Source organism: Homo sapiens, chromosome 2 (assembly GCF_000001405.40).
Source record: "Homo sapiens chromosome 2, GRCh38.p14 Primary Assembly".
Taxonomy (NCBI): Eukaryota; Metazoa; Chordata; class Mammalia; order Primates; family Hominidae; genus Homo; species Homo sapiens.
Genome location: NC_000002.12, coordinates 226789052 through 226814910, shown reverse-complemented (window position 1 = coordinate 226814910; position 25859 = coordinate 226789052). Strand labels below are relative to the sequence as shown.

General features: G+C 45.8%; 2 protein-coding genes across 5 annotated transcripts in view, besides 7 other annotated features; one reads left to right on the top strand and one right to left on the bottom strand.

Annotated features, from left to right (window-relative positions):
• RHBDD1 (rhomboid domain containing 1) overlaps positions 1–14752 on the bottom strand; it is a 199052-nt gene extending 184300 nt beyond the window's left edge. Inside the window, exons 1-3 of one of the 2 annotated variants that reach the window (NM_001349069.2) lie at positions 14689–14752; positions 7286–7425; positions 6274–6522 (exon numbers count right to left, since the gene is read on the bottom strand). The gene's annotated coding sequence lies outside the window, so the exon portion shown is untranslated. Of the gene's footprint in view, positions 1–6273; positions 6523–7285; positions 12473–14688 lie in introns of those variants that run through there. The other variant, XM_047445998.1, reaches the window with a different exon arrangement.
• Positions 1182–1753: an enhancer, noted in NCBI's record as "OCT4-NANOG hESC enhancer chr2:227677874-227678445 (GRCh37/hg19 assembly coordinates)". NCBI's record gives its function as "activates a minimal SCP1, AML or CMV promoter by ChIP-STARR-seq in primed H9 embryonic stem cells {active_cell/tissue: H9 hESC(primed)}" and the evidence as "EXISTENCE:reporter gene assay evidence [ECO:0000049][PMID:30033119]".
• Positions 13553–13762: a silencer, noted in NCBI's record as "silent region_12393". NCBI's record gives its function as "represses an Ori minimal core promoter by ATAC-STARR-seq in GM12878 lymphoblastoid cells {active_cell/tissue: GM12878}" and the evidence as "EXISTENCE:reporter gene assay evidence [ECO:0000049][PMID:35858748]".
• Positions 14723–14792: a silencer, noted in NCBI's record as "silent region_12392". NCBI's record gives its function as "represses an Ori minimal core promoter by ATAC-STARR-seq in GM12878 lymphoblastoid cells {active_cell/tissue: GM12878}" and the evidence as "EXISTENCE:reporter gene assay evidence [ECO:0000049][PMID:35858748]".
• Positions 14813–15232: a silencer, noted in NCBI's record as "silent region_12391". NCBI's record gives its function as "represses an Ori minimal core promoter by ATAC-STARR-seq in GM12878 lymphoblastoid cells {active_cell/tissue: GM12878}" and the evidence as "EXISTENCE:reporter gene assay evidence [ECO:0000049][PMID:35858748]".
• Positions 15091–25859, top strand: part of IRS1 (insulin receptor substrate 1) — a 68509-nt gene continuing 57740 nt past the window's right edge. For 2 of the 3 annotated variants that reach the window (NM_005544.3, XM_047444224.1), the window contains exon 1: positions 15091–19922. In NM_005544.3, coding sequence (NP_005535.1) covers positions 16173–19901 — 3729 coding nt within the window. In that variant the 5' untranslated portion in view covers positions 15091–16172 and the 3' untranslated portion in view covers positions 19902–19922. Of the gene's footprint in view, positions 19923–22525; positions 24471–25859 lie in introns of those variants that run through there. The other variant, XM_047444223.1, reaches the window with a different exon arrangement.
• Positions 16223–16272: a silencer, noted in NCBI's record as "silent region_12390". NCBI's record gives its function as "represses an Ori minimal core promoter by ATAC-STARR-seq in GM12878 lymphoblastoid cells {active_cell/tissue: GM12878}" and the evidence as "EXISTENCE:reporter gene assay evidence [ECO:0000049][PMID:35858748]".
• Positions 17003–17952: an enhancer, noted in NCBI's record as "H3K27ac-H3K4me1 hESC enhancer chr2:227661675-227662624 (GRCh37/hg19 assembly coordinates)". NCBI's record gives its function as "activates a minimal SCP1, AML or CMV promoter by ChIP-STARR-seq in naive H9 embryonic stem cells {active_cell/tissue: H9 hESC(naive)}" and the evidence as "EXISTENCE:reporter gene assay evidence [ECO:0000049][PMID:30033119]".
• Positions 22823–23512: a silencer, noted in NCBI's record as "silent region_12389". NCBI's record gives its function as "represses an Ori minimal core promoter by ATAC-STARR-seq in GM12878 lymphoblastoid cells {active_cell/tissue: GM12878}" and the evidence as "EXISTENCE:reporter gene assay evidence [ECO:0000049][PMID:35858748]".

The following is a 25859-nucleotide window of genomic DNA, read 5'->3' as shown; positions in this document are numbered from 1 at the left end:
TGTGTGCAGCACCTGTCTTGGCCACCTGCATCACCAATGTGGACTTGCAGGGTTAAGGAACTGATGTAAACATGCTGACTTCTGGCTAATGCTTTTTCTGTGAGTAATTAACTTTCAGGGAAGGAGACGGGGAGAGTGATTAGATGTCTCACTAGCCTACCCGTTGCTCAGGATTAAAATCCCAGTTATCTTTGACTTTTCTCTTGCTATTGTCCCAAATATCCAATTTGTTTCAACAGCCCATTGTTTCCTCCTCTGAATGTTTTCTGCACCTGCTTTTTCCTCTTTATTTCCACCACCACAAGACTAACTGAGCCCCTCATGCTCTCCATCTCCTTTGGTCTATTGAAACAGACTCCTAACTAGCCTACCTTTGCTCAAGGTTTCCATTTTACTCTATATCTCAGATGTGCTATGTTACTTCTCCTGTTGATCATACCAAAGGCTCCTCATTACTGACAAGCTAAGTCCAAACTTTTGATCCGTATTCAAAGTCATCCATGTGGGCCCTCAAAGTTATTTAATCACATTCTATTCTTTAATTGAGTACCAAATGCCTGCTATATCCCAAGTGTGATACTAGATGCTCTGAATGCTTCTCAAGGGAAGAGGATACTTTTCTTCCCCTCTAAAAGCTCATACTCTCTTCTTCTTGGAAAGACTGTTGTGTTGGTTACAGGTTGCTGAATGCTTTAAATGTATGATCCCCCTTATAGACAAGATATCATGTTCACTTTACTCGAGTCCACATGGAATGCCATCTTTCCTTCATGACTTTTCTCCATTGTTCATACAGTCCCACTCATGGAATGCTTTCTTCACCCCCTATATAGAACTCATATTTATCACTCACCCAAAAACAGCAGGCAACACATCAGACAAATTGCATACTCTCAGAGAAGAAATAAATAGAAAGTATATCTGGTGATACTGTAATATTTAAGAAAAATAAAATAGGTTAAGGAAGTGTCAAACTGGCCAACTCTTGCCCCTTTTTTACATATGAAATTTCTGTAACGATTTTGTAATCCCCACCACCATATGCTATGCTTTGTTTTGCAAAGGAGTCAGGTATTAATGGGTGGGGGACATGAGGAGTTGTGTGACTAATCCCATTTAAAATACATAGTTGAGGACAACAACAATAAGGAAGAGGACAGCTAATATTTATTGAGCACTGATAACACAAGTATCATCTGTTCAAAACTCCACAATAATTCAATGTGATACTATTACTATTCCTATCTTATTGATACTTGAAGCATGAAAGGCACTAAGTTGTCAGCATTTACAATGATGGCAAGTGACAGAGCGGAGTGAAGGAAGGCAGTGCAGACCTAAGCCTAATCTAATTGCCATTCTATGAAATGACTGGTGATGTTGTGTAGTGTACCCCTGGCAAAAGATGGAAAAAGTGAATGCTGGGTGGACATCCAACAAATCTGCATGACAATAGCCCCCCTGTCTCCAGTCTCCTCTCTTATAATGCCATCCCCCAAAACCACAAGAGTGATCTATCTAACATGAAAGCCCAACTGTGTGGCATTGTCCTGATTCAATGGCTCCCACTGCTGGAGAGAGAAACCACTGCTCTCTGCTGAAATGTATGAGGTGGTGTTTACCTTGATAATCAGTTTAAGAAAACCACTACACCTAATCTAAGTACCTGGCACAAAAGGAGAAGTTTTTCTTGTGTGTGTGGTTTGTATTGTTAGCCATTATTGAGTCTTTATTGGATATCACTGATAGACTGCCTGCAAGGAAGTCTAATTTTTACACAGAAATTCTTCCTTGTGGATATTATAGCAAAGTCACTTTAGCACAGGGATGCAAAAGGGAGAACAGTTAAATACAAGGGCTTTGGAGCCAGAGGATGGACTCAAGGCATCATTACTCTTTAAGCTTCATCAACCTCATCTGCAATTAGAGGATAACACCTCCCTCCTAGAGTTGCTCCAAGGATTGAATGAAATAATATATGTAGAGGGCTTAAAATAGTACCTACCTAGAAATTCCTAAGCAAGTGATATTTATGTATACATCTCTAAGGTTTTTATTGTTCTGAACTTTAATCATATTTAGTTATCATGGCTTAACCCAAGTAGGAATACATGGATGTCTTTAACAAAACAAAACAAGCAATATGGGAGAATTTTTTTAAATGAGTCCCCTCCCAGAAAAAAACTATTGCAAAGATATCTTGTTTGCCATTCTAGAATTTTTCTGTGTATATAAAAGCATACATGTGCTTTCCAAAAAAAAAGAGAGAGAGAGAGAACATCTATGATACAGTTCTGCACCTTACTTTTCCCCCCACCATGGGGATTGTTCCATAATGGGACATATAGATCTACTAAATTATCTTCCACGGCTATGCGTATTTCAATATGTAAAGGTAGTATAAATCATTTAGCAAGTTCTCTATTGATGGACACATATGTTGTTTCGACATTTTCTATGAGAAAATAACATTTCAGTGAATACGTTTTTAAGATTACTACTGTAGAATTTATTTCTAGAGATGGAATTGCTAGGTCAAATGTTATCAGCATTCAAAATTTTTATACTTCTTGTTCAGCTGCCCTCAGAAGAAGCTGAAAGAATTTATACTCCTACCCCATTGCCATACAGAGAAGTTGTACAAACATTTTAGAAACCATTCCATTTTTTTAAAGTCAGTTTTCTCACTGCCCCAGGAAATCCCAAGCTATGTTCCTGTCTCCTTGCCTGTAACCTTGTACTCCTAGCCTAGAATTCCCCTTCTCAATTGAATCTATCTGCATTAGCAGGGCTCATTCAGTTGCAAGTGACAAAACTCAAATGAAACTAGCTTGAGGAAATTTAAAAGGTGGGTATGGGGGGATAATTCTTGAGAGGATCCTGAGTAGTTGACAGAATTGACAGATGAGCTGCAGGTTCTAGGACAGTCCTAGAGACTTTGGGGACTGGAGCCTGCACACACTCCTCTACTCATCCATTCTAAACCCTGCTGTGTCCGCATGACTTAATTCTCTTCTATGGTGGATTGGTGAACCCTATGACTGTCAAAACTGTAAAACTTTACATAAATGGTAGCAATCAATAAATGCAAACTTCAAAAGACATTTTGCACTGGTGACTTATGGCTACTCCTACTTTCAGTGTCCTCTCATCTGTCATTAGATAGAATTCAGTGGAGAAATTTAGAAAGCACTGGTCGAATGTCCAGAAAAATCATTCCCCTCAAATTTCAAGGAGCCAGAATTACACTGTTACTCTTTACAATAATGTCTTTTAAATAAATATTGTCCGGCAACAATTCCACTATTGGCTGGGCGTGGTGGCTCACGCCTGTAATCCCAGCACTTTGGGAGACTGAGGGGGGTGGATCACTGGAGGTCAGGAATTGGAGACCAGCCTGGCCAACATGGCAAAACCCAGTCTCTACTAAAAATACAAAAAATTAGCTGGGCATGGTGGTGCACACCTGTAATCCCAGCTACTCAGGAGGCTGAGGCGCTAGAATCGCTTGGACCCGGGACGCGGAGGTTGAAGTGAGCCAAGATCGTGCTACTGCACTCCAGCCTGGGTGACAGAGCGAGACTCCCTCTCAAAAAAACAGAAAAATAAAAACAATTTTAGGATCATCTCTTTCCCCACCTGCATGACTAAAGTGCTTTGGTAGTTCCCCTTCCTTGCGCTCTCCGTGGTCCTGAACCATCTTGAGCTCTGCTTTAGAGTCCCCAGAAATGTTAATAGGAGGGGAAAAAGGGAATAGAAAAAATGAGGCTATTCGGGGAGAAAAGAAATGGCTTTTGTTTTGGCAATCTTTAAATAGTCTCAGTTATCAACAAATAAACCACAAGCAACCACGGACAGAATGAAAGAGAGTAAGCAATTTTGTGGGAAACATTCTTAATCTGAGCAAATATCCACATGCACGAGCAAGGTCACCTGGGGGAGTGGGGCAAGTCACCATGTGGCAAAGGTGGGATGAGTCCTCTGCCATTCTCAGTTGACCTATAATAAATTGTACATAGATTAGCTTTACTTTTGCTTTTATATCAAGATGGAAAAATTGCAAAATGAAAACAACAGTAACATTAGTTTTACAACCCCCAGGGATGTGTTTAAGCATACAGCTGGCCCTTGAACAACAGGGGTTTGAACTGCATGGATCCATTTATCCACGTTTTTCTTATGCCTCTGCCTCCACTGAGACAGCAAGACCAAGCCCTCTTCTTCTTCCCCCTCCTTAGCCTACTCAATCTGGAAATGATGAGGATGAAGATCTTTAGGATGCTCCACTTTCACTTAATGAGTAGTAAATATATTTTCTTTTCCTTATGATTCTCTTAACATTCACTTTTTTTTTTTTTTTTTTTTTTTTTGAGACGGAGTCTTGCTCTTTTGCTCAGGCTGGAGTGAAGTGGTGTGATCTCGGCTCACTGAAACTTCCACCTCCCTGGGTTCAAGCGATTCTCCTGCCTCAGCCTCACAAGTAGCTGAGATTATAGGTGCCTGACACCACACCCAGCTAATTTTTATATTTTTAGTAGAGACGGGATTTTGTCATGTTGGCCAGGCTGATCTCGAATTCCTGACCTTAGGTGTTCCACCCACCTCAGCCTTCCAAAATGCTAGGATTACAGGCATGAGCCACCATGCCCCGTCAATACTCACTTTTCTCTAGATTATTTTATTTTAAAAATACAGTATATAATGCAGATACAAAATATGTGATAATCTACTGCATTATCAGTAAAGTTTCTGGTCAATGGTAGGCTATTAGAAGTTAAGTTTTTGGAGAGTCTAAAGTTATATGCAGATTTTCAACTTTGTGGAGTTGCCACTCCTAATGCCTGCATTGTTCAAGCATCAACTATATTTTGTAGTTCTATAGAGATTCCAAGAGTTATGTTATGGTTTTTACACTTTAGTAAATTGTGTGTCCCACCAATGACATGGTAATTTTATGTTACATTATTATTATATTGTTGGGTATTGATGTATTTTACATAAGATTTTATTTCACATTTTCCAACTTAAAACTAGGTGTTGGTATTGATATTTGTCTTTTGCAGTAAATTACCTTACATTAGTCTTTTAAAATAGTTTTTAAAAAGGTGAAAGCTATTATTTGTTATTTTGTAAAGTTTTAAATCAGTAAAGACTAATAAATCTAGAAGTAGATTCCTAGATATAAACTTTTGTCTAAAATATTTTAAAATATTTGGTTTAAAAATTAGGACATATCTTGGCAATTTTTCCTATTAATATGAGTGTCTCTCTCTCTCCCTCTCTTTCTCAAAATCTTAAGAATGTTTAGAAGTCTAATCTTAGAGACAAGACTAAATTGCATAGTGAGACTAAACATAGCATCCACTGTACTTTAGTATCTCTGTCCTCATAGGAATTTTTCAAGTTAAAGTTATTTAGGAAATATAAAATATGTTGCCATAATTATCCCTACAAACTCTACTAACCTACTGTACACATCTGAGTATGTTGAACTTTTGTGATTCCACTAAAGAATTCAGTCAGATCATAAACATTGTGGGCATCTGCAATCAATGTTAATATCTTATACATAACACAAACATGATGCTAGATCTTATGTTAATTCCAAGTCTTCTTCTGACTTGACCATCAGCAGCAATTGACTCAGTTGTTCACTCTCTTTTTCCTGATATGGTGTCTTCCTGCCTAAAAGAGAGCAACTTTACTGGTTGTTCTTCTGTCTCCCTTGCTGGCATCTTTGTCCTCTTCTTTTGTCTATCTACTTTCTCTTTCTTGATGATTTTATCCAGTATCATGGGCTTTAAATCCTACTCATAGGCTGACAACCTTTACATTTATACCTAAGCCCAGACTCATCTTTTCAACTCTGGTTTATATACACAAATGCCTACTTGATATCTCCACTCGGAGGATCAATAAGCACCTGAAACTCAGCATGTCTAGAACCAAACTCCTGATCTTCCCCCATCTTCCCCATTCCTGTTCAGCCACAGTATTTCAATCTGTGGTAGTTTAAAACAATGACTACAAGTTTTTTTTTTTTTGACACTACTTCCATCAAGAACTGTGGTCTAGGTTCCCTGCCCTTTTATCTGGGTGGGCTCATGTCTACTTTGATCAATAGGATACATACAGTAGAAATGAAGCTCTGACTTCTGAGGTAAGGTCATAAAAGGCTACACAATTTCTGTCTGATTCTCTTGGAACACCTCCTCTCTAGAAGCTCCCTCTTGGCATGTTAACTCTCGAGATGGTCTCTCTTCAGACACTCACCTTTGAAATCCAGCCTCCACGCTGTGAAAAGTCCAAGTCACATGGAGAGACCGGATGTAAGTACTCTAGTTGATGTAGCCTTCAGTCATTCTAACGCAGGTGCCAGACACATGAGTGAACAATGTTTCAAATGATTCCAGGCTCCAGCCTTTCAAGTCAAATAGTCCCACAACCATTTGAGCCATCCCAGCCAGGACACAGACAAGCCATCAACACTGTGCCCTGTCTGAATTCCTGGCCCATAGAATCCTAGAGCATAATAAAAGAGTTGATGTTTCATAATTATTCCTTTAGAGTAGTTTCTTAACCCAGCCATAGAAAACTGATACATTGTCTCAGTTGATGGTGATTTTATCTTTTCAGTTGTACAAGTAAAAAAAACCTTGGAGTCATCCTACATTCTTTTTCTTCCATGTCACATCCATACCACCTGCAAATTCTGCTGATGCTGCCCTCAAAATATATTCAGAACTTTACTACTTCTCACCATCTTTACGAATGACCATCATCTCTTGATCATATTTCTGCAGTAGCCTTTTATGAGGTCTGCTTCTGCCACTACCCCTGTCCTCCCCCCAACAGTCTATTCCAACAGAGCTTCCAGAGTGTCTCTTTTTTTTTTTGAGACAGAGTCTCGCTCTGTTACCCAGGCTAGAGTGCAGTGGCGTGACGTCGGCTCACTGCAATTTCTACCTGCCTGGTTCATGTGCTTCTACTTACTCAGCCCCCTGGAGTAGCTGGGACTACAGGTGCCTGCCACCATGCCCGCCTCGGCCTCCCAAAGTGCTGGGATTACAGGCCTGAGTCACAGCGCCCAGCCCAGAGTGTCTTTAAAATATGTCAGATTACGTCACTGCTGTATTATATACCATCCAGTGGTTTCCCCTCCCAGAGCGAAAACCAAAGTCCTTACAAAGGCTTACATGATCCCTTATGATTGTGTCCACTGTTATTTCACTAAGCGTGCTTCTTCCTATTCTCCCCTTCCTCACTCTGCTCCCACTGCACTTACCTCCTCACTCTCCTAGAATGTGCCAAATGCCCTCCAGTCAGGGGCTCTTTGCATTGGCCATTTCCTCTGCATGGAACATGTCTTCATCACAGTAAATATTTCTTGAATGAAGGGGAATTAGCCCTTAAAATTTTAATTTCCTAGGAATCAAAGACATTTATGTTTGGTAAATTAAGAAATACAAAATAGCAACATTTTATCTAGTTTTTATGAAACTAATGTTATTAATAAAACTAATAATTTAAATTCCTGGTAAGCAGTTTTTAAAATTTTTCTTCTTTATAAAAGAAAACCACTATTTTCTCCTTTAACCCCAATCCAAAACTGATGCAAAAATAAAATACAAATTTACAAGAATATATTTTAAATACATTTATAATCTCTAACTTATTTTCCTCCAATACTTTATATAGCAAACAACATTAGCTCAATTATCACAATGAAATAATATTGGGAAGTGATGATAAATGTCTATTTTTTAAAATAGTAACTGAATCACATTCAGTGTTCTTAATTTGCCTTTTGCCTGTCTTCAGATTTCCACTGTATGAAAACTGTAAGTGCATCAGATTTCATTGCTTAGTAGGGACAGACTGGTGCCCAACCACTTAAGAAAAAAAAGCAGTGAAAAAATCATTCTTGGTTAGTACCAAAAATAATCTTAGGTAAACTCGAATCCATTGGAAGCATTGTGAATTTCCTCCTTAGGAGTTCAATTGGTGGTGCATCCAAGGATCTAGAGATGATCATTGTTCTGTTCTGTTTTTGAATTCAGAAATATTCATATAGAAAGTTGGTGTTTTCAGACTGTAGGTCATGACACCTTAGTGTGCTAGGAAATTAATTTAGTGGGTCTTAGAAAGCATTAAAAGAAAAAGAGAAAGTGTGAGATTGAGAGAAAGAGAGATAAGAAAGAGTAAAAAGATCTGAGTGCATTGCAGGTAGTAAGGGTAAGTTGTATTTCGTTGTAAGTGAGTCTGAGTGTGTGTGTGCGCACTGATGTTCAATGTGTTTATAAATGTATTTTTACTGCAGGTCATGGTCAAAAGTTTTAAAGTCACTGCAGTAAAATATTTCAGAAAAACTATTGACCAAACTTGTGACAGTTGCTGGAGGTTAATATTGCATATATTTCCTAATGTCTTCATTTGTAATCTAGGATTTTAGAGATAGGCCGATCAGTGGCTTTCAAATCTTAGCATACATAAAACTCATGGAGGTGGGAATGGGAAATGGGGGAACTACACATTGACCTACAGAGGATCTGATTTAGAAGGATCAGAGGTGGGACACAGGAAGCTTTGATTTGAACAATTCCACAGGTGATTCTGATATGGGTAACCCTCTGCCCACTTGTAGAGTCACACCGGACAACACCACAGGTAGTGATGCAATTACAAATTTCTTAAGTTCAAATTAACTTGTATCTTCCCAATCCACAGAAAACTAATGTCCTTAATCTTCTAGTCAGTTTTTTTTTTCTTTCTTAAAATAAAGAACCTTGGAGTGATGAGACCCAGTAAAAAGAAGAAGAAGAAAGAGAGAGAGAGAGATGTTCGTTAACCTTGCAGTTGAGGAGAGGATATGGGAAGAATGAGGGGGCCATGGTGACCCAGCAATTCTTTGTTAGTGAAATCAACTAGTTCTACCACCAGACCCTGCCAAGTGAATAGAGAGCACGGAATATCCATCATTACTGAGAAAAAGTTATGATGATTTGCCTTGCAATTGAGGAGGGGATGTGAGAAGAATGAGAGGGACATGGTGACCTAGCAATTCTTTGTTAATATGACCAACAGTAAAACCAACTAGCTCTACCTCTAGATCCTGCCCACTGAATAGAGGGCATGGGACATTCATCATTACTGAAATTCACATTAAAAAATAAACAAATGAAGTTGAGGGATTACTGTGAAGACATTTTTGGGCTATCAAATTTTAGATTTTAAATATAAATTTAAATTTAGAAAGTTTAGAGTGCACTGCACCAAAAAGACAAATTTAAGATAAAGAAGGGGGCAAAACCAGCAAAAGGTGTTGTAAAGTCTGCAAATCTTTCTAAGCATATGCTTATCTAGATATAACACTTGGCTCTTCAAATATGAGAAACAGTGGTTGGGTGTGGTGGCACACGCCTATAATCCCAGCACTTTGGGAGGCCAAGGCGGGTGGATTACCTGAGGTCAGGGGTTCAAGACTAGCCTGGCCAACATGGTGAAACTCCGTATCTACTAAAAATACAAAAATTACCTGGGCGTGGTAGGGCATGCCTGTAATCCCAGCTACTCAGGAGACTGAGGCAGAAGAATTGCTTCAACCTGGGAGGTGGAGGTTGCAGTGAGCCGAGACGGCGCCACTGCACTCCAGCCTGGGTGAGAATAAGACTCTGCCTCAAAACAAAACAAAACAAACAAACAAACAAACAAAACAGCTGGGGGTTCTTTCTCTGGATTAAATGACCAAAAACATTAGTGGCATTGTCTAAGATAACAAATTGACTGGCAGACCCCTGATTCTTATCAAACAAGAAAATGAGAATATAATAGTTAAGGAAATCAAGAAAATTAAAAAAGAAAAAGCTAGTTGTCTTTTTATTTATTTTTAGAGACAAAGTCTCACTCTGTCACCCAGGCTATAGTGCGGTGGCATGATCATAGCTCACTGCAAACTTGAACTCCTGGGCTCAAGGATCTTTCTGCTTCTGCCTCCCAAATTGCGGAGATTACAAGCATAAGCTACTATGCCTGGACCAGGACCAAGTTTTTTAGACAAATATCAGTTATGGATTCTCTTCACCACTCCCCAAATCACCAATCAATCAGTAGAATTTCTGAAGTGAAAGAATTAAACAGTGGCATGGAGTTTTCACCTCCCTCCTTTCTTCCAACCTCATCCACCTGTTTATTTCATGCTTTATTTGCTCCTCAAACAGCAAATGTTTTGAAATCATCTGTTGAGGGCATTACTGTCTTTCCAAAATCCCATGTTAGTTCTTGGTGCATTTATTTTCCCTCAGTTCTCTAGAAGAGATGAGGGATGAAATCAAGATGAGAGCAGAACTGGATTCTCACTAGCTGATTGCCAGTAATTGATATTCTTCAAAGGAAAATCAATTCATATTGGGAGACTCATGCAGGTTTGGGTCATTGCCTGCTCCACCCAGCTGTAGTAAACAGCCCACAGGTGAAGATCTTTGTTGACTGGTTAAGGCTGTGCATTTGCCAATTCTGGAAGAATAAAATTACATTTTTTTCTTTGTGTTTAAGCCAATGATTCTTAAATTTTGATGTAAATAATAATCTCCTGTAATGCTGCTTAAACTGTGAATGCTGGGGGGCCCATCCTTCCCTAAGAGATTTTGGTTTAGCAGGACTGGGATGAGGTAAGAAATCTCCATTTTCAATCACACCTTGGAAAACACTAACACAACTGTTTGATAATAACTCTTCATGCTTACCAGAAAGATTTGATGCCTGTGATTGAAAAGAGAGAAGCCCAAATACAATGAAGCCTCAGTTAAGTAGAATTTTTCTTGCTGTTGTTCTCTCTGTATATGTATATAATACTAAAGTATAAGTGCCTTGCTTGCATGTCACAGCACCAAATTATTGTCTTTCAATTAATCATCAGTCATTAGAACTATGCTACTTACCCAGCAGAATCAGCATCACCTAGAGTATGTTAAAAATGCACTGCCTCAGACTGCCCTTGACCTTCTGCATTTAACCAGAACCTGCATTATAACAAGATCCTCGGGTTTGAGAAGCCCTGATCTAGCCGATTTACAAGCCAAGTGTGACTTTTCAGCTCTCTTTTAATTGGCCTATTTTATATATTTTTAAATAAAACAGATGAAAGATTTTAATTACATGAGAAAACAAAGTTTTTAAGGGAAGAGGCACCTTTCAGATTCCCAAATTGCACTGTCTGTAACTGATAATGTTTATGTCAGAAGGCAGTTGGTTGTTATGTGATCTCATTTGCCCTGTGCCTATTTTTTCCACAAAAGAGATCATAGTGCTCTGCAATTGTGTTCATCTGCCATTTTCGATGTAAGTTTCCTGTGGGCAGCATGTCTTTGATATCTAAATCCTCAGTGTCCAGCCTAGTGCCTAACACAAGTAGGTGTTCCAAAAAACTTGAGTGGGAAAAAATAATTGCCATTTATCTGAGTTATAGCCCATTTCAAGTTCAAGCTTAAGGCTCCTCTCTTCTGTAAAAATTAAGTAGTTATTTCATCCATCATGAAAGTAAATACCACTTGTTATTTGACATCTCTCTCTCTCTCTCTCACACACACACACACACACACACACATTTTAGTCATCAACTATTGTTATTTTGTACTCTCTTATTACCCCATCAAAGCTGTAAGAAGCTGTCTTTTTATCTATTTCATATTGCCTTGCAGAGTAAGCATTCAAATGCTTATTACTATTGAGCCATCTTAAAATAAAAACAGATCTTAAAGTGAGAAAATCCACATTCAATTGTCCTTCAAGCACTGTTCTAAATTGCCAAAATTAATTCTAAGAGACGCCAGTATTTAAATAGCTCCTCCAGTTATGACCCATACATCTTAAGGAAAACATATGTTTTGATACAAAAAGTGTTTTATAATTTTGAAATGTTTAGTTTTACATCCACCCAACTCAAGCACTTTACAGATATATGTAATAATCTATAAATTTTGCATTATTTTCCTGATAGTATCATACATAAACCAATAACTCAATTTTAAAGCTAGTTGTAGACCTATTGCCCCAAAGTGCGTCCATAGCATGTAAACCCTTAACTCCTTGAATTAGGACTGTATTAGTGACATCAACGTAGCTGTTGCAATGTTGTGATGAAATCACTATTTTAGCCCTCTTTTAAAATGAACCTTAGCATATTACACAAATCGGCTCTAACTCTCCTATAGATGGCAGCATTGAGCAACAGATTTTGGTAATAGCTTGTTCTTCTGTTCCGTGAATTTTCAGTGGGGAGTAAATTTTTCATACAGTGTATTTCATTACAATACACCAAAAGACTAATTTAGCTTAGGTGACAGAATAATACCCATACCTGCTCAGCATTACTTCAGTGAGTTCCCACAAACGCGTCTCTTTCTATTCTATATATTACATGAACCAAATGTAAATGAATTTCCAGTTAGCCCATTAATAAAACAATTGTAGAGAACAATTGAATTTACTGTAGTATAATTATAACAAATATTAACCACCTTTAAATTGGTAGTAAAACATCAGCAAGTAGAAAAAATGGCACTAATATCCTATGATCAGTGATTATCTTCCATAGGAAACCCATTGGTCTGAACATAATTTGTCACAGCAGTGAGGCTTATTTCATAATTTTTATCGAATATTTAGCAACTGAAATTGTGTTTTTTAAAGCAGAAATGCTTTAACACTGAGAGATATATTTTTTAAAAGGTTTATTATCATAATTAGCTTTTTATGATCAAAATCCTTCCTATGAAGATAATTGTGAGGTACGTGCAAATAAATTTTCCAACCCTCCCCTCCTTCCAGAAAAGAGTATTTTTCCCCCATAGAGGTACAGTACCTTTATTTAGCTTTTTTTGGGGGGTGGGGGGTGGAGGGACGGAGGTAGGGACAGGGCCATTTGAAAAGTAAATGTCCATGGATTTGATTTGTTGTCTTACAAAATGTTAATTACTCCACTACCCCCATCCCAGCGCTAAACATCAAACCTGTGAAAAGCCCTTTGGCCTTATCTGGATTACATTGTTACTAGTAAACAACCCTTTTATAATCTCTCTTTTTTCTTGTCTAGGGTAAAACCAGGCACACAGTTACACTTTTCCACCAACTTCAGGCTTCTTTATTCTGCACCTCCCTGCCCTACCCCCTGTAAGGCACTCTATACCCCCAGAATTTCGGTCACTGTGAGTGCCGCCTCGCTTCCATTTCCAAATATCTGCTATTAATAGCCTTGCTGTAGTGGGCACGTGTGCCCACATCACCAAGCTGTCAGAGGAAAAGAAGGGAGGGCTTTCAATTCAACATGTGTACTCAAATTATAGATTAACCAGGTTTAGATGAGGCTGCATGACGACCGGGAACAGGAAGGGGAGAGGAGAAACGAGAGGCTCCCAGGCTTGGGTGGGGAGGAGCCCCTCTGCAGATGCCCAATCCCCCTAATTTACGTATCGCACACCCCTGAATGGCGCCTATGGTTCTTTTTCTCCTTCATCATCATCATCTTCTTTTTCTTTTTTTACTACGCTTTGCAACCTACCTTGGTACCCTCAACCCTTCTACCCCCACCTTCCCTCTGCAGTGCAAGGCTTGAAAAACAGGCCATCCCACCAATCAGCAGGCCTCCCCGGGAAACTCGCTCCGCCCCTCAGCCGCATTGGGCCGAGGCGCGCTCCCCCGCGGCCCGCCGGGTCCCAGCCACTGAGCATGCCCAGCGCCTCGACTGCTGAGTGCCCAGCCAGCATCCTGCAGTGCCTGGGAGCCTGAGGCCGAGGAGGGTCCCGGCGTAGTAAAGGGGCGGCAACCCCAAACGGGCCAGGCATCAAAATGAGACAGCATTAAACCGAGTGACATCTCTGTGGGTCCTTAGTGCCAGGCGAGCAAGCAGGGACAAACTGCTTGTTTATAGGTCGGCTTAAAAAATAAAAAAACTCTGGGGAGCGTTTGTTTGTGGGGAGACTGATACCGCAAGGTGACCCTGAAAGGGGCGCTTCAAGTAGACCCAGGCTGCTGATCTGGTCCACTCATGAAGTAACCATTTTCCTGTACAGTTGAGCTGGCACCATCCTTGTTTTCTCCCTGTTATCCTTGTGGTCAAGGTTAAAAACTTATAGGGTGGTTCAATGGGTGTGGGAGCTGTGTGTGAAACAAACATTTCAGCCAATATTTGCACAGTAGGGTTTTGGCCTTATGAACCCTCTGAAGGTCCCTAACAGCTTTTTAAAGTCACGGATAGACTTCGGAATATGATAAGGGACCTCTCATTTCCCCTCCCCCATGCCCTCAGCCTTAGGTGTGAGTCCCCCCGTCACACGGATGGGCAAGGGGAGCAGGAGAAAAGGTGATATTTACATTTTCTCCCTACTTGATCAGCAACTAATTCCACAGCGCCGGACGTGAGACACTTCCTGGGGATCCCTGTTCTCCTTTTGTAGTGACCATAACTGCCCCCAGTCACTGCCCTTGGGCGTCCCTCTGTTCCTTCCAGGTACCTCACGGCAGCAAATCTGGGGATCCCAAGGTGGAAGGCTGGCCCAGAAGTCCTTTAGAAAAACCTTAAAAAATACAGATCCCCTCACCATGGCCTATCGCCCTGAAGCCGAAATCTAGCTTTTAAATTTCCTGGGGGAAACAGCCTTGACTAGAAACCTCCCTCCCGTGGGTCAGTCTTACCTGATAGGTAAGAGGCAGCCCAGCTCCGGCGCCCCCGCCTCCCCCCGGCCTCCCACTCGGGGCTCTGTAGCCGCAGTGCCCCCCCGTGGCCCCCCACCCTCACTCCTGCGTCTTCCCGAGCTCGCCCCCTCCCGTTTTCCCAGACTCCCCTCGTGCTTTCGGGTAGCCACCCAAACACCCCCGCCTGCGCCCGCCGCGGGGATTCCTGCGGGCCGGGGGCGCCCCGGTTGGCGCGCGTGTAGGGAGGCGCTGCGCCGGAGCTGGCGGCCGCGCAGGGGCGCTGTCCTAGCGCTGCGCCGGGGTCGGCGCGGGCGCCGCTGCAGCACGGCTGGGGGGCGGAGAGGGGCGGGCGCGGGGCGGGCTCGGCCCGGAATGTAGAGACCCGGGCGGGAGCCTCCCGGCGGCGGCTGCCCGGCTGCCGAGCGCGGAGGCTCCGTCACGTGTTTTTCTCCTCCGAGTGAGACGGCGGCGCGGTCGGAGGGGGCCGGCGCGCAGAGCCAGACGCCGCCGCTTGTTTTGGTTGGGGCTCTCGGCAACTCTCCGAGGAGGAGGAGGAGGAGGGAGGAGGGGAGAAGTAACTGCAGCGGCAGCGCCTCCCGAGGAACAGGCGTCTTCCCCGAACCCTTCCCAAACCTCCCCCATCCCCTCTCGCCCTTGTCCCCTCCCCTCCTCCCCAGCCGCCTGGAGCGAGGGGCAGGGATGAGTCTGTCCCTCCGGCCGGTCCCCAGCTGCAGTGGCTGCCCGGTATCGTTTCGCATGGAAAAGCCACTTTCTCCACCCGCCGAGATGGGCCCGGATGGGGGCTGCAGAGGACGCGCCCGCGGGCGGCGGCAGCAGCAGCAGCAGCAGCAGCAGCAACAGCAACAGCCGCAGCGCCGCGGTCTCTGCGACTGAGCTGGTATTTGGGCGGCTGGTGGCGGCTGGGACGGTTGGGGGGTGGGAGGAGGCGAAGGAGGAGGGAGAACCCCGTGCAACGTTGGGACTTGGCAACCCGCCTCCCCCTGCCCAAGGATATTTAATTTGCCTCGGGAATCGCTGCTTCCAGAGGGGAACTCAGGAGGGAAGGCGCGCGCGCGCGCGCGCTCCTGGAGGGGCACCGCAGGGACCCCCGACTGTCGCCTCCCTGTGCCGGACTCCAGCCGGGGCGACGAGAGATGCATCTTCGCTCCTTCCTGGTGGCGGCGGCGGCTGAGAGGAGACTTGGCTCTCGGAGGATCGGGGCTGCCCTCACCCCGGACGCACTGCCTCCCCGCCGGGCGTGAAGCGCCCGAAAACTCCGGTCGGGCTCTCTCCTGGGCTCAGCAGCTGCGTCCTCCTTCAGCTGCCCCTCCCCGGCGCGGGGGGCGGCGTGGATTTCAGAGTCGGGGTTTCTGCTGCCTCCAGCCCTGTTTGCATGTGCCGGGCCGCGGCGAGGAGCCTCCGCCCCCCACCCGGTTGTTTTTCGGAGCCTCCCTCTGCTCAGCGTTGGTGGTGGCGGTGGCAGCATGGCGAGCCCTCCGGAGAGCGATGGCTTCTCGGACGTGCGCAAGGTGGGCTACCTGCGCAAACCCAAGAGCATGCACAAACGCTTCTTCGTACTGCGCGCGGCCAGCGAGGCTGGGGGCCCGGCGCGCCTCGAGTACTACGAGAACGAGAAGAAGTGGCGGCACAAGTCGAGCGCCCCCAAACGCTCGATCCCCCTTGAGAGCTGCTTCAACATCAACAAGCGGGCTGACTCCAAGAACAAGCACCTGGTGGCTCTCTACACCCGGGACGAGCACTTTGCCATCGCGGCGGACAGCGAGGCCGAGCAAGACAGCTGGTACCAGGCTCTCCTACAGCTGCACAACCGTGCTAAGGGCCACCACGACGGAGCTGCGGCCCTCGGGGCGGGAGGTGGTGGGGGCAGCTGCAGCGGCAGCTCCGGCCTTGGTGAGGCTGGGGAGGACTTGAGCTACGGTGACGTGCCCCCAGGACCCGCATTCAAAGAGGTCTGGCAAGTGATCCTGAAGCCCAAGGGCCTGGGTCAGACAAAGAACCTGATTGGTATCTACCGCCTTTGCCTGACCAGCAAGACCATCAGCTTCGTGAAGCTGAACTCGGAGGCAGCGGCCGTGGTGCTGCAGCTGATGAACATCAGGCGCTGTGGCCACTCGGAAAACTTCTTCTTCATCGAGGTGGGCCGTTCTGCCGTGACGGGGCCCGGGGAGTTCTGGATGCAGGTGGATGACTCTGTGGTGGCCCAGAACATGCACGAGACCATCCTGGAGGCCATGCGGGCCATGAGTGATGAGTTCCGCCCTCGCAGCAAGAGCCAGTCCTCGTCCAACTGCTCTAACCCCATCAGCGTCCCCCTGCGCCGGCACCATCTCAACAATCCCCCGCCCAGCCAGGTGGGGCTGACCCGCCGATCACGCACTGAGAGCATCACCGCCACCTCCCCGGCCAGCATGGTGGGCGGGAAGCCAGGCTCCTTCCGTGTCCGCGCCTCCAGTGACGGCGAAGGCACCATGTCCCGCCCAGCCTCGGTGGACGGCAGCCCTGTGAGTCCCAGCACCAACAGAACCCACGCCCACCGGCATCGGGGCAGCGCCCGGCTGCACCCCCCGCTCAACCACAGCCGCTCCATCCCCATGCCGGCTTCCCGCTGCTCGCCTTCGGCCACCAGCCCGGTCAGTCTGTCGTCCAGTAGCACCAGTGGCCATGGCTCCACCTCGGATTGTCTCTTCCCACGGCGATCTAGTGCTTCGGTGTCTGGTTCCCCCAGCGATGGCGGTTTCATCTCCTCGGATGAGTATGGCTCCAGTCCCTGCGATTTCCGGAGTTCCTTCCGCAGTGTCACTCCGGATTCCCTGGGCCACACCCCACCAGCCCGCGGTGAGGAGGAGCTAAGCAACTATATCTGCATGGGTGGCAAGGGGCCCTCCACCCTGACCGCCCCCAACGGTCACTACATTTTGTCTCGGGGTGGCAATGGCCACCGCTGCACCCCAGGAACAGGCTTGGGCACGAGTCCAGCCTTGGCTGGGGATGAAGCAGCCAGTGCTGCAGATCTGGATAATCGGTTCCGAAAGAGAACTCACTCGGCAGGCACATCCCCTACCATTACCCACCAGAAGACCCCGTCCCAGTCCTCAGTGGCTTCCATTGAGGAGTACACAGAGATGATGCCTGCCTACCCACCAGGAGGTGGCAGTGGAGGCCGACTGCCGGGACACAGGCACTCCGCCTTCGTGCCCACCCGCTCCTACCCAGAGGAGGGTCTGGAAATGCACCCCTTGGAGCGTCGGGGGGGGCACCACCGCCCAGACAGCTCCACCCTCCACACGGATGATGGCTACATGCCCATGTCCCCAGGGGTGGCCCCAGTGCCCAGTGGCCGAAAGGGCAGTGGAGACTATATGCCCATGAGCCCCAAGAGCGTATCTGCCCCACAGCAGATCATCAATCCCATCAGACGCCATCCCCAGAGAGTGGACCCCAATGGCTACATGATGATGTCCCCCAGCGGTGGCTGCTCTCCTGACATTGGAGGTGGCCCCAGCAGCAGCAGCAGCAGCAGCAACGCCGTCCCTTCCGGGACCAGCTATGGAAAGCTGTGGACAAACGGGGTAGGGGGCCACCACTCTCATGTCTTGCCTCACCCCAAACCCCCAGTGGAGAGCAGCGGTGGTAAGCTCTTACCTTGCACAGGTGACTACATGAACATGTCACCAGTGGGGGACTCCAACACCAGCAGCCCCTCCGACTGCTACTACGGCCCTGAGGACCCCCAGCACAAGCCAGTCCTCTCCTACTACTCATTGCCAAGATCCTTTAAGCACACCCAGCGCCCCGGGGAGCCGGAGGAGGGTGCCCGGCATCAGCACCTCCGCCTTTCCACTAGCTCTGGTCGCCTTCTCTATGCTGCAACAGCAGATGATTCTTCCTCTTCCACCAGCAGCGACAGCCTGGGTGGGGGATACTGCGGGGCTAGGCTGGAGCCCAGCCTTCCACATCCCCACCATCAGGTTCTGCAGCCCCATCTGCCTCGAAAGGTGGACACAGCTGCTCAGACCAATAGCCGCCTGGCCCGGCCCACGAGGCTGTCCCTGGGGGATCCCAAGGCCAGCACCTTACCTCGGGCCCGAGAGCAGCAGCAGCAGCAGCAGCCCTTGCTGCACCCTCCAGAGCCCAAGAGCCCGGGGGAATATGTCAATATTGAATTTGGGAGTGATCAGTCTGGCTACTTGTCTGGCCCGGTGGCTTTCCACAGCTCACCTTCTGTCAGGTGTCCATCCCAGCTCCAGCCAGCTCCCAGAGAGGAAGAGACTGGCACTGAGGAGTACATGAAGATGGACCTGGGGCCGGGCCGGAGGGCAGCCTGGCAGGAGAGCACTGGGGTCGAGATGGGCAGACTGGGCCCTGCACCTCCCGGGGCTGCTAGCATTTGCAGGCCTACCCGGGCAGTGCCCAGCAGCCGGGGTGACTACATGACCATGCAGATGAGTTGTCCCCGTCAGAGCTACGTGGACACCTCGCCAGCTGCCCCTGTAAGCTATGCTGACATGCGAACAGGCATTGCTGCAGAGGAGGTGAGCCTGCCCAGGGCCACCATGGCTGCTGCCTCCTCATCCTCAGCAGCCTCTGCTTCCCCGACTGGGCCTCAAGGGGCAGCAGAGCTGGCTGCCCACTCGTCCCTGCTGGGGGGCCCACAAGGACCTGGGGGCATGAGCGCCTTCACCCGGGTGAACCTCAGTCCTAACCGCAACCAGAGTGCCAAAGTGATCCGTGCAGACCCACAAGGGTGCCGGCGGAGGCATAGCTCCGAGACTTTCTCCTCAACACCCAGTGCCACCCGGGTGGGCAACACAGTGCCCTTTGGAGCGGGGGCAGCAGTAGGGGGCGGTGGCGGTAGCAGCAGCAGCAGCGAGGATGTGAAACGCCACAGCTCTGCTTCCTTTGAGAATGTGTGGCTGAGGCCTGGGGAGCTTGGGGGAGCCCCCAAGGAGCCAGCCAAACTGTGTGGGGCTGCTGGGGGTTTGGAGAATGGTCTTAACTACATAGACCTGGATTTGGTCAAGGACTTCAAACAGTGCCCTCAGGAGTGCACCCCTGAACCGCAGCCTCCCCCACCCCCACCCCCTCATCAACCCCTGGGCAGCGGTGAGAGCAGCTCCACCCGCCGCTCAAGTGAGGATTTAAGCGCCTATGCCAGCATCAGTTTCCAGAAGCAGCCAGAGGACCGTCAGTAGCTCAACTGGACATCACAGCAGGTGCGTTTCATGGTGACAAAGTCAGAAGACAAAACTGCTTTTAACCTTGTCCTTGAATTCTGTTCTTCGCCTCTGCCCCTTCCTGTTCTTTCCCACTGCTTCCTCAGGGAGAATGCACTTACATTCTCAGGGCACACAAGATGCTCACCCCACACTGACATCTGGCAGAGAGTCAAACAAACATGTAGGAGCAGCCACAGGAGGGCTTTTTCGTTTGAGAATTCCCAAGTGAAGTAGTTACTGCAGTATTTTTAAAACATATATCCTATGCCAGTTCTGCGTTTTGTAGAGTTCCTCCGTAAGAAGCTTGATTTGTTTGTTGAAGTTTTCTTTTCACTATATATTTAGGTCAGCCCCTGGAAGGGACAGTTCTACAAAAAATATTTGTTAACACAGGGGCTAAACCCTTCCTTATCTTAAACTATCTTAATAGTTTCTGGGAGCCCTTAAGGGTGATCTTATCAAGTTGTTCTCTGTACTTTTGTTCTGTGATTTCATAATACTAGGGCAACATAAACAGCAGCGGGAAGCATTGATTTCTATTCATCCTGCCCTAAAAAGATCAGGAGTAAGAGCTTTTTAGAAATATGTATTTAGAGAGAAGTACCTATCTATTTTGTGATCTCTCAAGAAAGTAATTATGGGTGACGTTCTCCTTTTGTTCATGTACCAGGATTTGTGAAATATTATTCACACACCGACCCACCATCCCACGGGCCTGGCCTCTCTTGTACAGGATATGCAGGAAACTCTGTATGTGTCTGGGACCCATTATTAAGAGTTATGGGAGTTCATCCTAGGATGTCTGCCTTATAGTTATCTCTTCTTGCACTGAGACATTACAGATATCATTTGGGGGCTACTATATATCTTCTGTAAAATTACTTTTATTTGTTGAGAAGAATGCATACTAAGTCAGGAACATGCCTTAATTTGTTTTGTTTTGCATTGAGTAGAAGGGCTAAACTGTATACCCTCCACTTTTAGGGTTATTTGCTGTGTGCCTTTAAGTTCAAAAGTAGACACCACAGTAAATGCTGAAAGTTGGCTTTAGGTCTTCTGTGGCTAATGCCGTATTAAAAATGAAAAACATTTGTAATAGGAAATTAGCCTGCCCTTCGTTCTGTTGATCCTGTTTTCTGGTGGTCATAATTGTGGGTAGAAGAGAGTACAGTTTGCAAATAATGTGATGAGTTGGCAATGCAGAAGTTTCCAGCATTTGGAAACACTTTACTCTGACAAACTGATTATCTTGTGAATTTTATCTATGCTCCACAGAATGAGCTTTTAAAAGCACTGATTTTTCTTAATTTGTGTCCATTCATAAGAAATTAATCTGTGCCCTGGTTTCCTATTGACAGGTATTTATTTATCATGTGTTCATAGTCTTCTTAATTCTGTTTCCAATATTTGATCCATATAATTCTCTATTTTATAGAACAAGAAAAAGGTATATGAACACTCAAATGAAGATTTTGGGTGATATGTTACAAAAAGCATTTATTTGATCAGTATTTACTTCAACATTTATTTTCATCATTCACTAGAAGAAAGATTTAATTGTGTATATCAACATCAGTAGTACAAATCTTGTTATATCAAATGATGTTTTTGGGAGTCAGAATCCCTCAACACTTTAAGCATTTGTATTATAAAGTGCCTCATTGGTAAAATAATGAGAATTTGAAGAAAACCAGCCCAGCAGAACTAAAATTTTGGTTTTAAAGGAGATAAAGAGAATAAGTTTTTCTTACTTGTCATCTTAATTTGTTTAGGTTTCTTTTTATAGAGTAGAATAAATGATGTTTGCTCTGAAGAGAATTGATGACCAACTAGAATTTTCATTTTTAAAAAGGGCTTTAAAATAAAATTCTCCTATGTGTTGGATGCATTAAAAAAACAAAAACTCTACAAAATTCTATCCTTAACCTTCTTTGGGAAAATAAAATATTCTGGAATAATCATATAATCCTATTTCTAATAATTCTGGAGTAACAATCGACCATGCTTTGCACAGTGCCAGGAAAATTCTACAATGCGTATTTGAGATGTTTGTGTTGGTGTTTAAAGTGAGGCACCAAATGCTACCTGGCACATTTACATCCTCAATTCTGCTTGCTTGCCTGTGCCCTGTTGAGTCCAAAGATGTTATTCTATAGCTATCTGAAACAGACAGAAGTCAGACCTGTGAGTGGCAAACAGCTTCTGCTCCGAATGTGTGTGCAAACATTATTTTCCTCACTTCCTCAGCAATTGCTGTCTTTGCTTCTTTTCCTCATTTCTCAGGTAAAACCTGAGACTCGGTGAAAGGAATAGAGGTATGATGAGGCGTGGGCTCTGTTGAAACATCTCGGCTTGTTTAAAATTTTTCATTGTCTGTTAAGAGGAGAACACTTGTGAAGCACTGAGCTCAGGAGCTCTACTTGTTGGAAGCCTGTCTGCTTTACCTGTAGTCCAGTGACCTTTTCTGCCTGCCCTTTCTCTTGCATAGCCTCTTAGTTCTGGCTTGCTCGTTTTCTAGTACTATCCCCTGCCATCCCTTTGTTTCCACCTCTTATTTCATGTTCCTGACATTATCCTTTTTTTCTTTTGCTCCTTTTCAGAATTTCGCAGTACTTGTGGCCCACTCTCTGCAGAGAGTAAATTGAGAGCCCAAGAAGCAGGGCAAAAAGAGCCTCTCAGACTCGGTCATAGCAGCCCTGCCACCTTTACCTGGCATCAAATTTATCTTTTAGTTTTGAAACTGCAGCTGACAAAGACACAGACCCCAGCCATGCCTTTTGGGTTCAGTTTTTTTGTTTTTGTCATTCTTTGTTATGCCCTCCCCCTTTAAAAGAAAAAAGAAAAAGAAAAAAAACAGAAAAAGACTCTTTCCATTTCTTTTTCATTCAGTTTCCTTTTTTGTGATGTCAAGGATTCCGTACCTCCAAGGTTGCCTCCCCTCCCTCCCCTTTCCCCAGCCCTGTGGCCTTTTTGGCTGGCGCAAACCCTCTCGGCCCTGGCACTTTCCCTTTTCCGGGTCACCTCCGCTTCCTGCATTCCTTCTCCTCCCTCTTCCGAGCCCCCTTTCGCCCGGGGTGGGGGAATCTGCAGCCAGACCGCCCTCGGGTCTCCCGCCCCCGCCCGTCTCGGGTCATCCAGGGCGGTGGGGCCCCTTCCCGGGCCGCGTGGTCGGCGCTGGCGGGCGAGGCCCCGCCCTCGGGCACAGCCGCGCGGCTCTGGGTCCCGGGCGGGCGGGGCGGTTGGGCGCTGATTGGCCCCCACCACAGCCAATCAGCATGTGAAACGGCTGAGCCGCGGCGGGCGCGGGGCGGGGCTCTCCGCGGGTCCCCTGGCGGTGGTGGCGGGCGGGCGTCCCTGGGCCGCTTTCTGCCACCCTGCCTGGCACCTCTTTCCCGCGGGTGCCCGCAGGCCGAGCCGCAGGCCCCCTCTGCACCGCGCCCGCCGACTGAGGACGTTGTGCCCTCAGCTGTATTCTTGCATTTGGATCAGAATCCTAAGAATGAAAAAGTCCAACCAGCCCACGGACGGGGGCCGGAAACACACACTTGCTCTTATTTTTAATTGAGAAAAATCCAGGCCGTAACCATGTGACGAGCCCCATTTTGTTTCCCTTCTCTCTTTACTACGGTTTACTACGAGGCCACGTTCCTTCGTCTTCCGGTCTCGAGATCCGCGAGCAGGAGGGAGTCCCGCACGTGGCTGCGGGCCTGCGGGCCAGGTGGGGTTGGCCCGCGATTCCTGCCCGCCCCCCTCAACCAAGGGAGGGAGAGAGACCTGCGAGTGCTGCGGATGCCATCGTTTTGGGTCATGGGGGGAGGGGGAATTCCTTTGGCTTGAAAGTGCCCTAGGCTCCATACACTTTACTGCAAAGCACCAGAGCTAGGTAAGAGCTGGGAAAACGCATCCTCCTGGGCTGTGAGGGAGCTCACAGCGAAATGAAAGACGGGACTGCAGCTTGCAGATCCTGAGAACCCGGTGTGACAAGGGTTTGGGTAGTGTGTTCCTTAAAGGCTTGGAGGAAATGCTGTGGCGTTCTCAGACACAGATTCATTTTTCCATCATTGACAGTCCCAGTGACAGCCCGTCAATTTAGGCTGGGCACATCGATTTTGAAAGCTTGCTAGATTTGTGTTGTGTACCCTCCAGTAACCAAAATTATGTGAGATATATTACTACATGGGATGGAAAATGTGTTCAGATTTGGCCTTTCTAAAATAAGGAAAATAAGAAAGAAAAGTGCTATGGGAGTATTTTCTCCTCCTCCTCCTTCCCTCTCAAATAAGCATTTCTCACCAGCCAACATCCCTCTTGCATCACTGAATCATAAGATCCCAGGGCAGCGCTTTTTCTGAGGGGCCAAGTGAAACATCACAGGTGGAAACGTACCAAGCAGGTGCAAATGTTATGACCCAAAACTGCTACTGAGCAGTGGGAGAGAGTTTCTCTGTTGTTCCAGAAAAGTTTGAGCAGCTAATAATTTGCTTAATGTTTGCAATTGTTTAGGTATCTTTTTATAGTAAAAATAAATCCATAAAATGTTGCATATATTGTAGTCATTTCTCTGAGTTCCCCCTCAATAAATACTATCTCCAGCATTGCCCTACAGGAAGAGACTTGGGATCCAAAGGGCATGCCACCTTTTTTTTTTTTTTAAATCACAATTCCAGGAAAATAGCTTTGTGCTATCTTAAATGATGCAATGGAAAAAGCAGTTCTTGGGAGCCAGAGATCTTGGGCTCCAACACAGCCTGTGCCCTTCACTAGCAGAGTGACCTTGGGCAAGTCACTTAATTTCTCTGGACCTATTTCTTCATCAGTAACTTGAGGATTTTGTTCTAAATTATTCTAACCTCCTTTGCAGCTCTAAACATAGGAATGTTGTGGAGAAAATGACTGATACTCTTTAATGGGTCAGTTGCAATGAGGATTCTTTCCGAAGAAGCTGTTGACAGGGTCATGATAAAGCATGAGAATAGCCTGTTCTGTCCATTTCTAGCCTTTGGATCAGACATTCTTTATGGACAGACTGGGGCCTGGAAGGAAAACATTGTTTGATTCAGGCCTGACATTAACTTTTCTTGCTTCAAGGGGGCATTTTCGAGTTTTAACAAACCCTAAGACAAACCCTCCTGATCGACCAGCCTAAGTTTTTGGAACCATCTCTAGACTGAATTATGCTCCTCTTCCTTCCGCCTTTTTAAAAATAAAATGTGTGTGGGAATGCAAGGCACCTGCTAGTTCCTACATCCTAAGGTCAGCTCTCAGAAACATCCCACCCCTCCCCACACTATAGAGTAAGCTTTAACCAGTGCACACTGTGGAAATTAACACATGCATCCTGTTGGAAATCACCTCTTTTTCAGGGGTGGTGTGTTTGTGGATAATGTGTCTCATTTGTACCATCAGTGTTCTTCAGTGAGACAGCCATTTAAGTGAATGGTAAGGAAATTTGAGAAGCCAACTGGGGACTATAGGAGGCCTTCCACAATTTTTTCTTTAGCTTTATTTTTCTCTCTTAGGTGTATGAAACAACTCAATATTTCTCTTGCTGGCAAAATTAGTGTTGTCCAGATTTTTTGTGCTTTAGGGTTTTTGATTAGTTAGTTGAGCCAACACTGCTTTTCCAACCCTGTGTTATCTTGACTGTTGAGTTGCCAATATATTCAGAAGCTCCGACCTTTTTTGTCCCTCCATGTGGATTTCACAAGTCATTAAAATAGTCTGTTGCCTCTTAAGAAACTCCACGGACTTATGCTTTTCCAATCCTCTCACTATAATCAGATATGTGTCTTAGCTGAATAGTATATAAATGGTTCCTTTTATTTTGATGGGTTGGTAATTTAGTATATTGGAACATTTCACAGTTTTAAGGTTTTGTTTTGTTTTAAAGAAAGCCATTTCCTCAATTATTTCCTCATGTTACAAAGTTACTGG